This window comes from Homo sapiens, chromosome 6 (genome assembly GCF_000001405.40).
Source record: "Homo sapiens chromosome 6, GRCh38.p14 Primary Assembly".
In the NCBI taxonomy this organism is placed as follows: Eukaryota; Metazoa; Chordata; class Mammalia; order Primates; family Hominidae; genus Homo; species Homo sapiens.
In genome coordinates, this window is record NC_000006.12 from 67,459,548 (window position 1) to 67,473,127 (window position 13,580).

Below are 13,580 nucleotides of genomic sequence, written 5' to 3' on the forward strand. Positions count from 1 at the left end.
TGCCTCATAGTCATTCTGGCAAGCATTCTTTCCTTACACATTATGAGAAAATACTAGGAAAATATTTTCTTCCATTAAATTATATTAGTTACAAATTTTACCAAAATTTGTTTTAGTCTTTTCTTCATTTGTGTAGTTTAAAGATAATATGTACCTGAATCATAGTTGTGCAACTATTAAAGAAAACAGGTTGGTGCAGGTAGAGGCGAGGATTAGGTGACTAAGCATTGCTTTCTTTCTCTATTTAACTTCAGGTTTTCAGGTACCACAGATAAATGCAGACTTAAAACTCATTGCTTTACAAGACACTTAATAAGAGAAAAATTTCCCCATCTTGTAAGATTTGGAAAAGCTGTCTTCCTTTGCCTAATGGAGATTCCTAATGTAGGACATCAAGACTCTGAGAAGTAATACAGTAAGAGAACCATTACAACTTTTTGGGACCCAGAATGCCAAAATATACCAAATGCTTTGGTAATGTAGACCCTTTTCATGAAACAACTATGGATATTCCACGAACTTAGTATGTCTTTTTGTACAGATTAGAAAGAGTTAGTATAGAACAATGTAAACATACACAAAAGATGACTTGTAATGTTTTATTGTTTTTAATTTTAAAATTCAGAATCTTGATTTATAAAATGGTTATCTCACACTTTTCAAAGATTGCATCTCACATCTACTCACTTGACCTCAGCTCAAGACATGCTCACTTATTTAGTATCAGTGACAATACCCATCTGTTGCATAATGGTTTGTGATACATATCCTGATTATTTTCTAGAATGCATTTTCTCTGTTGTCTGTATTTAGAAGTTTCTGCTTATCATTTCTTCAGTGAACACTTAAGTCAGTTAAAATAAGTTCCTCTATTGAGGGCCCCATACATGCCAGTATCTGCTAGCAGGTGTATAAATTGGTGCACCTGTTTTATAAAATTGTTTGCTAATATCTACTAAAGCTAAACATATATAAACTCATGACCTACCAATACTAAAATTGAATATACTCTTAACAGAAATGAGTGCCTATGGCTCTAAAAGACAAGAAAAAGAATAGAGCAGCAGGAACTCAGCACTATCTGCCTGGAGATAGAGACCTGTTTATTGGTGGCCATGGCCCTCAAACACCAGTAGCTTTGGCACATAGGTCTATCTTCTGGAATGACCAGGCATCCCTACATAGGCCAGAGTCTTCCTGTACAGGCACAGGGCCCTAAGGCTGCACAGCTGCCTGTGTTCCAGTCTGCAGTTGTGTTAAAATCAAGACATTGAGTGTGCTTCTGCTAAGGCAGTGGTTCTCGTAATTTTTGCAGACGTCGATATCACTTGAAGAGCTTGTTAAACTGCAGATCAATGAGTCCTGCAACCAGCAGCCCTGATATTTACATTGGAGGCATATATGCTGCTGGTCCAGGAGCCACACTTTGGGAATTATGGCATTAAACAGTGTGGTTGCGTACTTACTGCTTACATTTAATTATAAATGGTGACCCATCTTCCCAATTTAGTTCCAGAAGAACAGTATTTATCCATTAAATATTGTAGTGCATGATTTATGACAGTTGTAGAATGAACAAATAACATGGTTCTGTCACAAATTCCTGCAAGCTGGTTACTGATGTGCTTTTAGCAATCCACTCCACCCTCCCCATGGCTGGAGCTACCAGGCTACATAACTCTGGCTGCAAGCACCACTTCCATTTACCCCCTGTGCCATAGAAATACTGCCATTTTCCATGTGTGTCATAGTGGGGAAAATTTAGAAAGATTGTGTTAAATAATCAACATTGTTATAATGAGGGGCAAACTTGATCGTATGCCTTGATAACCCATAAGATATCATGATTTAACACTAAACCATACTGTTTTTTACAAACATTGATGCAAACTTAACAACAAAAAATAAACTTTACCTATCACCTATAACAATCTCAAATTGAAAATAATTAAGATTTATATATATATATGAGAATAGATATCTAAACAATCAGATATTTCATACCACTGATGAGAAATGAAATATTGCCTCATGTGGAAATATGATGGCTCTCACACAGATGATGTAAAAATAAAACATTCCATGATCATGGAGAGGAAAAATCAATATCGTGAAAATGGCCATATTGCCCAAAGTAATTTGTAGATTCAATGCTATTTCCATCAAGCTACCATTGGCTTTTCTCACATAATTAGAAAAAACTACCTTAATTTTCATATGAAACCAAAAAAGAGCCTATGTAGCCAAGACAATGCTAAGCAAAAAGAACAAAGCTGGAGGCATCACGCTAACTGACTTCAAACTATACTACTAGGCTACAGTAACCAAAACAGCATGATACTGGTACCAAAAGAGATATATAGACCAATGGAACAGAAAAGAGGCCTCAGAAATAATGTCACACATCTACCACAATCTGACCCTTGACAAACCTGACAAAAACAAACAATGGGGAAAGGATTCCCTATTTAATAAATGGTATTGGGGAAAGTGGCTAGCCATATGCAGAAAACTGAAACTGGACCTCTTCCTTGCACTTTCTACAAAAATTAACTCAAGATAGATTAAAGATTTAAATGTAAGACCTGAAACCATAAAAACCCTAGAAGAAAACCTACGCAATACCATTCAGGACATATGCATGGGCAAAGACTTCATGACTAAAACACTAAAAACAATGGCAATGAAAGCCAAAATGGACAAATGGGATCTAATTAAACTAAAGAGCTTCTGCATAGCAAAGAAACTATCATCAAAGTTAACAGGCAACCTACCGAATGGGAGAAAATTTTTGCAATCTATCCATCTGACAAAGGGCTAATATCCAGAATCTATAAGGAACTTATACAAATGTACAAGGAAAACACAAACAACCCCATCAAAAAGTGGGCTAAGGATATGCACAGGTACTTTTCAAAAGAAGACATTTATGTGGCCAAAAAACATGAAAAAAAGCTCATCATCACTGGTCATTAGAGAAATGCAAATCAAAACCACAATGAAATACCATTTCACACCAGTTAGCATGGTCAGGAAACAACAGATACTGGAGAGGATGTGGAGAAATAGGAACGCTTTTACACCGTCGGTGGGAGGGTAAATTAGTTCAACCACTGTGGAAGACAGTGTGGTGATTCTTCAAGGATCTAGAACTAGAAATACCATTTGACCCAGCAATCCCATTACTGGGTATATACTCAAAGGACTGTAAATCATTCTACCATAAAGACACATGCACACATATGTTTAGTGCAGCACTATTCACAATAGCAAAGACTTGAAACCAAACTAAATGCCTATCAATGTTAGACTGGATAAAGAAAATGTGGCCCATATATGCCATGGAATACTATGCAGCCATAAAAAAGGATGAGGTCATGTCCTTTGCAGGGACATGTATGAAGCTGGAAGCCATCATTCTCAGCAAACTAACACAGGAACAGAAAACCAAATACCGCATGTTGTCACTCATAAGTGGGAGTTGAACAATAAGAACATATGGGCACAGGGAGGGAAGCATCACACACTAGGGCCTGTCAGGGGGTAAGGGTCAAAGGGAGGGATAGCATTAAGAGAAATACCTAATGTAAATGATGGGTTGACGGGCGCAGCAAACCACCATGGCACATGTATACCTATGTAACAAACCTGCACATTCTGCCCATGTATCCCAGAACTTAATGTATTAAAAAAAAAAGAAACAAAGATTGCATACTATATAATGGCATTTACATGAATTACTCAAGCAGAAAATTGTAGTGATTGTCTTCGGAAAGTATTACATGAATAATGCTCAAAAGAGTTTTCTGGAATGTTGGAAATTTACATTTTGATCTGGTTGGTGGTTGCACAAGTATATTGATTTTTTGGTTAAAAATGAATTGTATATTAAACAATTTCTCCTCTTCAAGAGCTTAGAGAATACAAGGGATATAAATATATTTATGTTTTTCTTTTTGCCAGTGACTGAGTAATAATTGACAAACATTTATTTTCTCACAAGTCCTTATCTACAGGGAAGGTATTACTAGTCACATTTTTAAGGTAGGGAATTGAGATGTCTAGTACCTTACATGAAGTAGTAAGGCTAAGGTAGAAATTCAGGTTTTTCTTCCTCCAAAATCCCTGTATTTTAATCATTATGCTGTATTATTTCTCTGCAGATAGTTTTATGTTTATTATTATAATTAATAATTTTAAATGGGTGCCATTATAAAAGGCAGAGTTTCTGTCAGATTCATCTTTGTGGTCCTATTGTGCAGCACAGTTTTCGGCACAGAATAACCACTTAGTATTACTTGAATAATAGTTGAATGGCTGTATACCTATGAGGTAATTTATAAATGAATATTATATGTTTTTAACATTATTACTTATATAATATTATTTTCATTATATTGTTATTTATTTTATTTTGATCATTTTATTCCAAATTCTTTTAAAGATTCCAATTTAATGTGTTTTGACTCCCATGTTATGCTGAAAAATATTAAAATAAATTTAATTGAAAATAATTACACCTATATGAAGAATTGTGTAAGATCAATACGCATTAAGCGAACACATTTATGAAAAAAACATTATGTTTTGAGAAAGTACTAACTCTTTTGCTCTTACAGATTTATGAGAATGTTTAAATCATTGTATTTTGGAAAATAATAATTTACCTAAACATTTTATATCTAAATAATTTCTCTTTGAAATGGATGACAGCTGGAATCCAGCTGTCAAAGAAAAATTAATGCCAGTTACTGAGAAGGCAGAAAAACTATATTTTAAATAGTCAATATACTTTCCTCTCTGCTGAAAAACAATTATTATCACTGCACTGAAGTTTGATTCACTTGACATTGTTCAATTTTGCAGCAGGACACTCATCATCAGAATGTGGGTACCTAACACAAAAGTCTGCATATTGGAATGTAAAAACCTATCACCATGGTGTTTGGTACATGCATTATCACTAGTAATAAATAGCTACATTCCTCTTCAAGCTTACTTTCAATTTAAGAATTTCCTAATGAAACACCAAGAAACACCAATCCAAATTATTTCTCATTTGGATGTATTTTTTGCAAATTCATTGAAGAATAATTTCTGCACAATTAGCTGTACATATTTAAAGTGAACAATTTGATGGATTTTCACATATGCATACATTCATGGAACCAAAATTCCAATAAAAATACATTTTTATCACACCAAACATATTAATATTCCTCATGTCTTTAGATTCTGTACATGCGCAACCATTGACTGGCTTTCTGTTGTAGAGAGAACTCTATTATGTATACATCTATATAAAGGATATTACACAGTACATACATATTTTGTCTAGATATTTTGCTCATCATAGTGATTTAATACTCATCCGTGTTGTTGCATGTCAATAATTCATTGCTTTTATTAATAAGTAAGTTTCTATTGTATAGCTAAGTAATAACTTATCCATTCATTTGTAAATAAAAATTTAGTTTTAGTTAAAACAATACTCATAGCTAATGAAATAATTATTAAATATTTTATACATTATTTTAGTGTTTACTAGGCATTTATAAATTTAAGCAGATTAAATCAATATCTTATTCATTTTATAACTTGACATTTTCAGAGTATCTCTCCTGTGTGAGAAAGTGTTCAACAAGCTAAGTATACAACAGGAAGCATAATACAAAATTCTCACTCTCATGGAATAAACTTTGGTGAGAGGAAGGACTATACAGATCTGTGCTTACAAATCCAAATGAGCAATATTAGTACAGGTGCTAAGAAGGAAATAAGAGATAAGTATGTGCCAGAGACTAACTAAAATAGAAAGATGTGAGCAGGCTTTTAAATAATATGGGTGGGGCAGGTCTTTCAGATATCCGCTTTGAGATGAGACATAGTTGACGAGAAGGAACGAGTCACGGGACAAACCAGTGGAAGAGTGTTCCTAACGCAGGCCATAGTGAGTATGGCAAGCAAATGATATAAAGACAAATAAGCAGGGAGAAGGAGTGGTCTCTTGTGTTGGAATATATTGAACCACTGAAAAATTTAAAGGGAGAGTTTCAAAATGTGGATTGCACACAGATATGTTTAGCCATGAAAGCCATAGGTAATAATTTTGGTTTGATGTGTTTATTTGTTTTAAAACTAAAAAATTATGTGATCTGGCTTGTAAAATAGCATTTTGGCTACTAAGTGGATAGTGAGGGTAAATTTTGAATCAAAATTGAGTGTTAACAATGTTATTGTAGTGCCACCAGTGAGAGTGGAGGTTGCTTTAAAAAATCTGGAGACACACCAGAGTGGGAGAATTTAAAATTTGCCACAGTATTCATTGATGTATTCAATGTAAATGGGGTGGGGTTATTGAGAAAAAAAGGTTGAATCAAGAATGATTCATAGTTATTTGGCCTCAGAATGAGCTGAGACCCACTGAGAGCAAGAATAGACAAGAAAGATTTTGGAATGGGAAAATAGAAAATGCAAATTTGAATATATTATATTTAACATTATTTTTGACATGCAAACAATAATCTTTTTTATGTTGGATAATGGATATAAGAAACCCAAGATTATAAAAGTGAACAACACTAAAGATGCAAATGTAACATTTATCAGCAAATATATATATATATATATTTATACACACGCACATATACATCTATGCAAAGCTAGGTCTGCTTTCAGAAATTCCAATATTCTAAGGTTTGTCAGAGAAAGAAGAAAAGTCAAATGAGAATGTAAATAGTGGCAGTTAAGGATAATACACAGCCAAGTACAACGCTGTGCAAGATTGGTGATCCTGACAAAAGCAATTTGAGTAGTAGATTTGAAAGATGAACTGAAGATTCAAAAGTAAATGTAATGAAGGTATTCTTTTCAAGAAGATTCATGCAAAGTACACTTATATGCTAATAAAAATGAGCCAGAGGAAAGGAGAAGTCAACATTAGAGATGAAGGAGGGCAGAGCTGTAGAAAAGCATTTCTTGAGAAAGCAAGATCAAATGGGTTCCAAGACACAAGTAGAAGGATTTGTCTTTGGTAGGACAGGGTCACATTTCCACTGTAATTGAAGGAAAGAGAGATTATATAATTTATAATATTAATTTTATAATTAATACACCATGGAATTTTCCCCATATCCTTCCATGTTGAATAACATCCATTGTAAACCCTGGTTTTATACTTAATTGATTTTCATGATCTAAGGGAAGAACATTTTAGAAAGTTTAAGAAATAAAATAATAGTGGGCCGGGCACGGTGGCTCACGCCTGTAATCCCAGCACTTTGGGAGGCCGAGGCAGGAGGAACACTTGAGGTTGGGAGTTTGAGACCAGTCTGATCAACATGGAGAAACCCCATCTCTACTAAAAATACAAAATTAGCTGAGTGTGGTGGCGCATGCCCGTAATCCCAGCTACTCGGCTGAGGCAGGAGAATCGCTTAAACCCGGGAGGCGGAGGTTGCGGTGAGGGGAGATTGCGCCATTGCACACCAGCCTGGGCAACAAGAGCGAAACTGTCTCAAAAAAAAAAAAAAAAAAAAAAAAAAAAAGTAGACATTAGTAAAAATAATAAATAGTGAAGGTTTCTACCGAAAGATTTTCTTGTTTTTTTTTTTTGACTGAAAGATTTCTTAATGCATCTCAGGGGAATCTGTATGATGTTTTGATCACAGTTCTCCCATCCAAGCACTAACCAGGCCCGACCCTGATTAGCCCACAAGATCGGAGGAGATCGGGCACATTCAGGGTAGTATGCCCTTAGCGTTGATTACTCTTCTATAATCAATTTAAAACACTTCTTAGTAATGTATTAACCGAATTGAAAATAATTCAAGTCAATCATTTAGCTTTCTAATCATACGTCCAAGGTGACCTTACGTGACAAGATTAGTGAAAGTCGGAGCTGCCTTCCTGTTTGTTCCCCTGGAATCCCCTCAGTTTTACAAAGCCAGTGTCCTTTATTTATTGCTCAGTGTCCTTTGCTGACAATAGCACACTCAACTGCCTGCTCCCAGAAACCACAGGAAATTGCCACAAGCAGAAGTCACTTCGACTTTGGGTAACTTATTTTACCCTCTTTCCTTCAAATCCTAACATAGGTGTACATGCACAAATACACGCACACACACAAACTTGTTAGATTCCTGCAAGTATAAATAATAAATGTTGTACACGTGACTCATTTAAAAACATATCCCTGAGCTTTTAATACAACTATGCTTGTTTTTAGCAAAGTTTTGTTCCATATATTATGCTTATTATTTTTCATTTATTTTATTTACTTATTTATTTATTTATTTATTTTTGAGATGGAGTCTCTGTCTCTGTTGCCCTGGCTGGAGCGCAGTGGCGCTATCTGGGTTCACTGCAACCTCTGCCTCCTGGGTTCAAGAGATTCACCTGCGTCAGTGTACTAAGTAGCTGGTACCACAGGTGCATGCCATTACGCACAGCTAATTTTTGTAATTTTGGTAGAGACGGGGTTTCACCATGTTGATCAGGCTGATCTCAAACTGCTTTAATATCAAGTGATCTGCCTGCCTCGGCCTCCAAGAGTGCTGGGATTACAGGTGTGAGCCACCGCGCCCTGCCAAAATTCTGTGTCTTTAATTAAACTAAGAATGACTAATTTTAGACTACCAAATTTTATAGTGTGTATATGCACATTAAGACTTAGGCTGGACACAGTGGCTCATGCCAGTAATCAGTGAACATTGAGAGGCCAAGGTGGAAGGATTACTTAAAATCAGAAGTTCAAGACAGCCTGGGCAACATTGTGAGACCGTGTCTCTACAGGTGGCATGCACCTGTAGTCCGAGATACTCAGGAGGTTGAGGTGGGGGGATCACTTCTGCTGTGATGCAGTCTGGGTGACAGAATTAGACCATGTCTCAAAAAAAATCAATATAAAAGATTTTAGCCTAGAAATGTGCCATATCATGTTTTCCAATTAAGTACTGCTGGGAAATTGTAAGACTATCTTTTTCAAATTGCATGAATTTATTGGGCAAAATTATTAATGGAGACTCTTTTTATTATCAAATTTGATTGTTTTAATTTGATATCTAACTTATACAACTAGAGTTGTGCAAGTTATATAATTTCAAATTAAAATATATTGCATAAATTTACATATTACAATATCTATGTTTACACCTCTATTGATTGCTATAAATATTCTATAGATTTTATATAAAATAATGGGAGTTAGGGCCCTACATTTTGATAATAAAATGATATACTTAATAAAATATCACTAATAGCTGAGGTTGTCATAAAAAAGCCATGACATGGATTTTAAACAGGTCATATTCCATATCCCAAACTAGCTAGATAATTAGTCTAACTGTGCATGGTATTCCTATATTCTCCTGTATAATTTGCATCAGAAAACATTTTAATGTTCATGAAAATAAATTTATTTTGGAAAATAAATACAATTTTATTTTTTAGGGTTGATTTGAAACAAGCTATTTGATAAGTAAATATAAAATAATTATATATTTTATATGCATGCAGTGCTCATCTTAAAAGCACTGATTCACTTAAAAATACAAACTGATTCACTGAAAGAGGAAGTCAAATTGTCCCTGTTTGCAGATGACATGATTGTATATTTAGAAAACCCCATCGTCTCAACCCAAAATCTCCTTAAGCTGGTAAGCAAATTCAGCAAAGTCTCAGGATATGAAATCCATGTGCAAAAATCACAAGCATTCTTATACACCAATAACAGACAAACAGAGAACCAAATCATGAGTGAACTCCCATTCACAATAGCTTCAAAGAGGTTAAAATACGTAGGAATCCAACTTACAAGGGATGTGAAGGACCTCTTCAAGGAGAACTACAAACCACTGCTCAATGAAATAAAAGAGGATACAAACAAATGGAAGAACATTCTATGCTCGTGGATAGGAAGAATCAATATCGTGAAAATGGCCATACTGCCCAAGGTAATTTATAGATTCAATGCCATCCCCATCAAGCTACCAATGACTTTCTTCACAGAATTGGAAAAAACTACTTTAAAGTTCATATGGAACCAAAAAAGAGCCCACATTGTCAAGTCAATCCTAAGCCAAAAGAACAAAGCTGGAGGCATCATGCTACCTGACTTCAAACTATACTACAAGGCTATAGTAACCAAAACAGCATGGTACTCTTACTAAAACAGAGATATAGAACAATGGAACAGAACAGAGCCCTCAGAAATAATACCACACATCTAAAACCATCTCATCTTTGACAAACCTGACAAAAACAAGAAAAGGGGAAAGGATTCCCTATTTAATAAATGGTGCTGGGAAAACTGGCTACCCATATGTAGAAAGCTGAAACTGGATCCTGGATCCCTTCTTAAACCTTACACAAAAATTAATTCAAGATGGATTAAAGACTTAAATGTTAGACCTAAAACCATAAAAACCCTAGAAGAAAACCTAGGCAATACCATTCAGGACATAGGCATGGGCAAGGACTTCATGTCCAAAACACCAAAAGCAATGGCAACAAAAGACAAAATTGACAAATGGGATCTAATTAAACTAAAAAGCTTCTGCACAGCAGAAGAAACTACCATCAGAGTGAACAGGCAACCTACAGAATGGGAGAAAATTTTTGCAATCTACTCATCTGACAAAGGGCTAATATCCAGAATCTACAATGAACTCAAACGAATTTACAAGAAAAAAACAAACAACCCCATCAAAAAGTGGGCAAAGTACGTGAACAGACACTTCTCAAAAGAAGACATTTATGCAGCCAACAGACACATGAAAAAGTGCTCATCACTGGCCATCAGAGAAATGCAAATCAAAAGCACAATGAGATACCATCTCACACCAGTTAGAATGGCCATCATTAAAAAGTCAGGAAATCACAGGTGCTGGAGAGGATGTGGAGAAATAGGAACACTTTTACACTGTTGGTGGGACTGTAAACTAGTTCAACCATTGTGGAAGACAGTGTGGTGATTCCTCAAGGGTCTAGAATTAGAAATACCATTTGAACCAGCCATCCCATTACTGGTTATATACCCAAAGGATTCTAAATCATGCTGCTATAAAGACACATGCACACATATGTTTATTGCGGCACTATTCACAATAGCAAAGACTTGGAACCAATCCAAATGTCCATCAATGATAGACTGGATTAAGAAAATGTGGCACATATATACCATGGAATACTATGCAGCCATAAAAAACGATGAGTTCATGTCCTTTGCAGGACATGGATGAAGCTGGAAACCATAATTCTGAGCAAACTATCGCAAGAACAGAAAACCAAACACCACATGTTCTCACTCATAGGTGGGAATTGAACTATGAGAACACTTGGACACAGGAAGGGGAACATCACACACCAGGGACTGTCATGGGGTGGGGGGAGGTTGGAGGGATAGCATTGGGAGATATACCTAATGTAAATGACGAGTTAATGGGTGCAGCACACCAACATGCACATGTATACATATGCAACAAACCTTCACGTTGTGCACATGTACCCTAGAACTGAAAGTATAATAAAATAATAATAATAATAAATAAAAACTCATTTTAATAATGTAAAGACATGGCTATAGTATTAATACTCTTTAAAATGTAAGTTGAAATTGTTCTGCTTTGATTCATATGTTTATGTTTCACAGAATGGAGCTGTTGAAGACATAATATTTTATTTTATTATAATCAGCATTCACTTAAGCTTGCTTTTTGTTGCAGTATCAAAACTTTCCAATCAGACTTAACTTTCAAAATAAAACAACTATCCATTCATGTGCCTCATTTTTGCATAAACATGTTAGTAAAATTTGAATTTATCTTTTTTATATTTGTAAACAATAAAGTATTTATTTCAAAGTTACTTGATAAATTCCTGAAGAGAGAAATAACCTTTTCCCTAATGAGGTAGTATCTTGATAAACCAACCTGGCAGTTACTCAACTTTTTTTCTTAAGTAGTTAAAAATCACTCAGTGAATAGTTAAAGGAATTGAATATATTACATATTTTCAACACCTGGAGCATAATTTTAACATGAGTTTACAAAAATAGTTCTCTATAAGGAATATAATTTTTCTGATTTTGACATTTTGATTACCTTGACAAAATTACTGGTGTGCATGTCTATGTCTTTGAAATCATGGCAACTAGGTTATTTTCTATTCCACCATTGTACCCATAGATTAAAACTATCTCTGTTAGCATTTGGTGGTTAATTAATAGCATATATACCAGCATATATACCACATATATTGAATAATAATTATACAATACATATGTAAATGTTGGTATATATGCTGGTATTACACATACTCACACACAAGCACATATATAGTGACTGAGAAAATTGGCTTCAAATTCACAGAGAATTTGGTTTCACCACTTGCCTTGGCTTCCATCATGGTGGTTAATGAAGATAATATCCAACAGGTGGAGAGATCCATCAACAAAATATTTATAAACCCCTAGTATAAATTTCAGTTTACTGTCAGAACCACACCCATAGTTTGTGCAGCCTAGGCATCTATATTCAGATTTGTTTGTATGAGTTTTAAAAGGCAGGATAAAAAACAATACTTATTATATCTCCTTTAAAGTTTTTTTGAATTTAATAAGCATCAATATTTACCTGTACCTGTTTATTAGCCTAGCCTTTTTAAGCAAATTCCTACAATTCATCATTACTAATCCAATGTAAATATTACCTTCAAATAAATCTTTGTTTCACCAACTCTTCCCACGTTATGGCCCTTATGCCCAGGCCGAATTTTCTTTTCTTTGGGGTCCCACAGTGCTTTGTTCATAGCCATGTAGAGCAGCAATTACTTGCTCACAGATCTGTCTCTTATAATAGGCCAAATTCTTCTACAGCAGGGAGCATATGCTATTTCCTCTGATTATTCCCAAGTCTCTGTCAATGTTTATTGACTATGCGAGAATACTAAATTGTTTGCAACCATAACTGGAAGGGGAATGGCAATTTTCAAACTTAATCATAGTTGATCCTCACTATAAAGATAAGCAGATTTACCAAAAACCACAAAATTAATTGTACTGTTTTCTAAAATATTATTAGTAACCACATTAAAACCTTCAAAATACTCCTGACGAAAATGCCAAAATAGCACAATTTATTATGCAGTTTATTGCATAATATGCAAAGCCATATTAGTAAATATGAATACATGTGCCTGTCTCATTTCATCATTTCAAACGAATTATCACTTTGCATTTCAAATTTGTGTTCATCAAGTAATGCAATAATGATAAGCACTTGGAATTTGAACATGAGTACTAATCAGTGGATTTTTTTTCAAAGACACAACATCATTTGAATTTGTCACTTTTCAACACATTCAGTAAAAACAGAACAATGTCCAATAATGAAAAATTTACTGTGCATAATAGTCAATTGCTACAATTCTTTGTCAGAAGTCATACTTCTAAAATCACCGTAATCGAATAATGTTATAAAGAACATTCTTAAAAAGAATGTAAATATTTATATTTAAAAAGAATGTTCTTCGCAATATAATTAGGTTATGGTGATTTTAGAAACATGAGAAAAAACAGATTT

At 34.6% G+C, this 13,580-nt stretch overlaps 1 pseudogene, besides 1 other annotated feature; it reads right to left on the reverse strand.

The window, feature by feature from the left end:
- RNA5SP208 (RNA, 5S ribosomal pseudogene 208) lies at positions 7,684-7,761 on the reverse strand (annotated as a pseudogene).
- Positions 8,891-9,060: an enhancer, noted in NCBI's record as "experimental_94210 CRE fragment used in MPRA reporter constructs". NCBI's record gives its function as "activates a minimal promoter by MPRAs in K562 erythroleukemia cells, with activity observed for the introgressed 6:68178416 variant allele {active_cell/tissue: K562}" and the evidence as "EXISTENCE:reporter gene assay evidence [ECO:0000049][PMID:34662402]".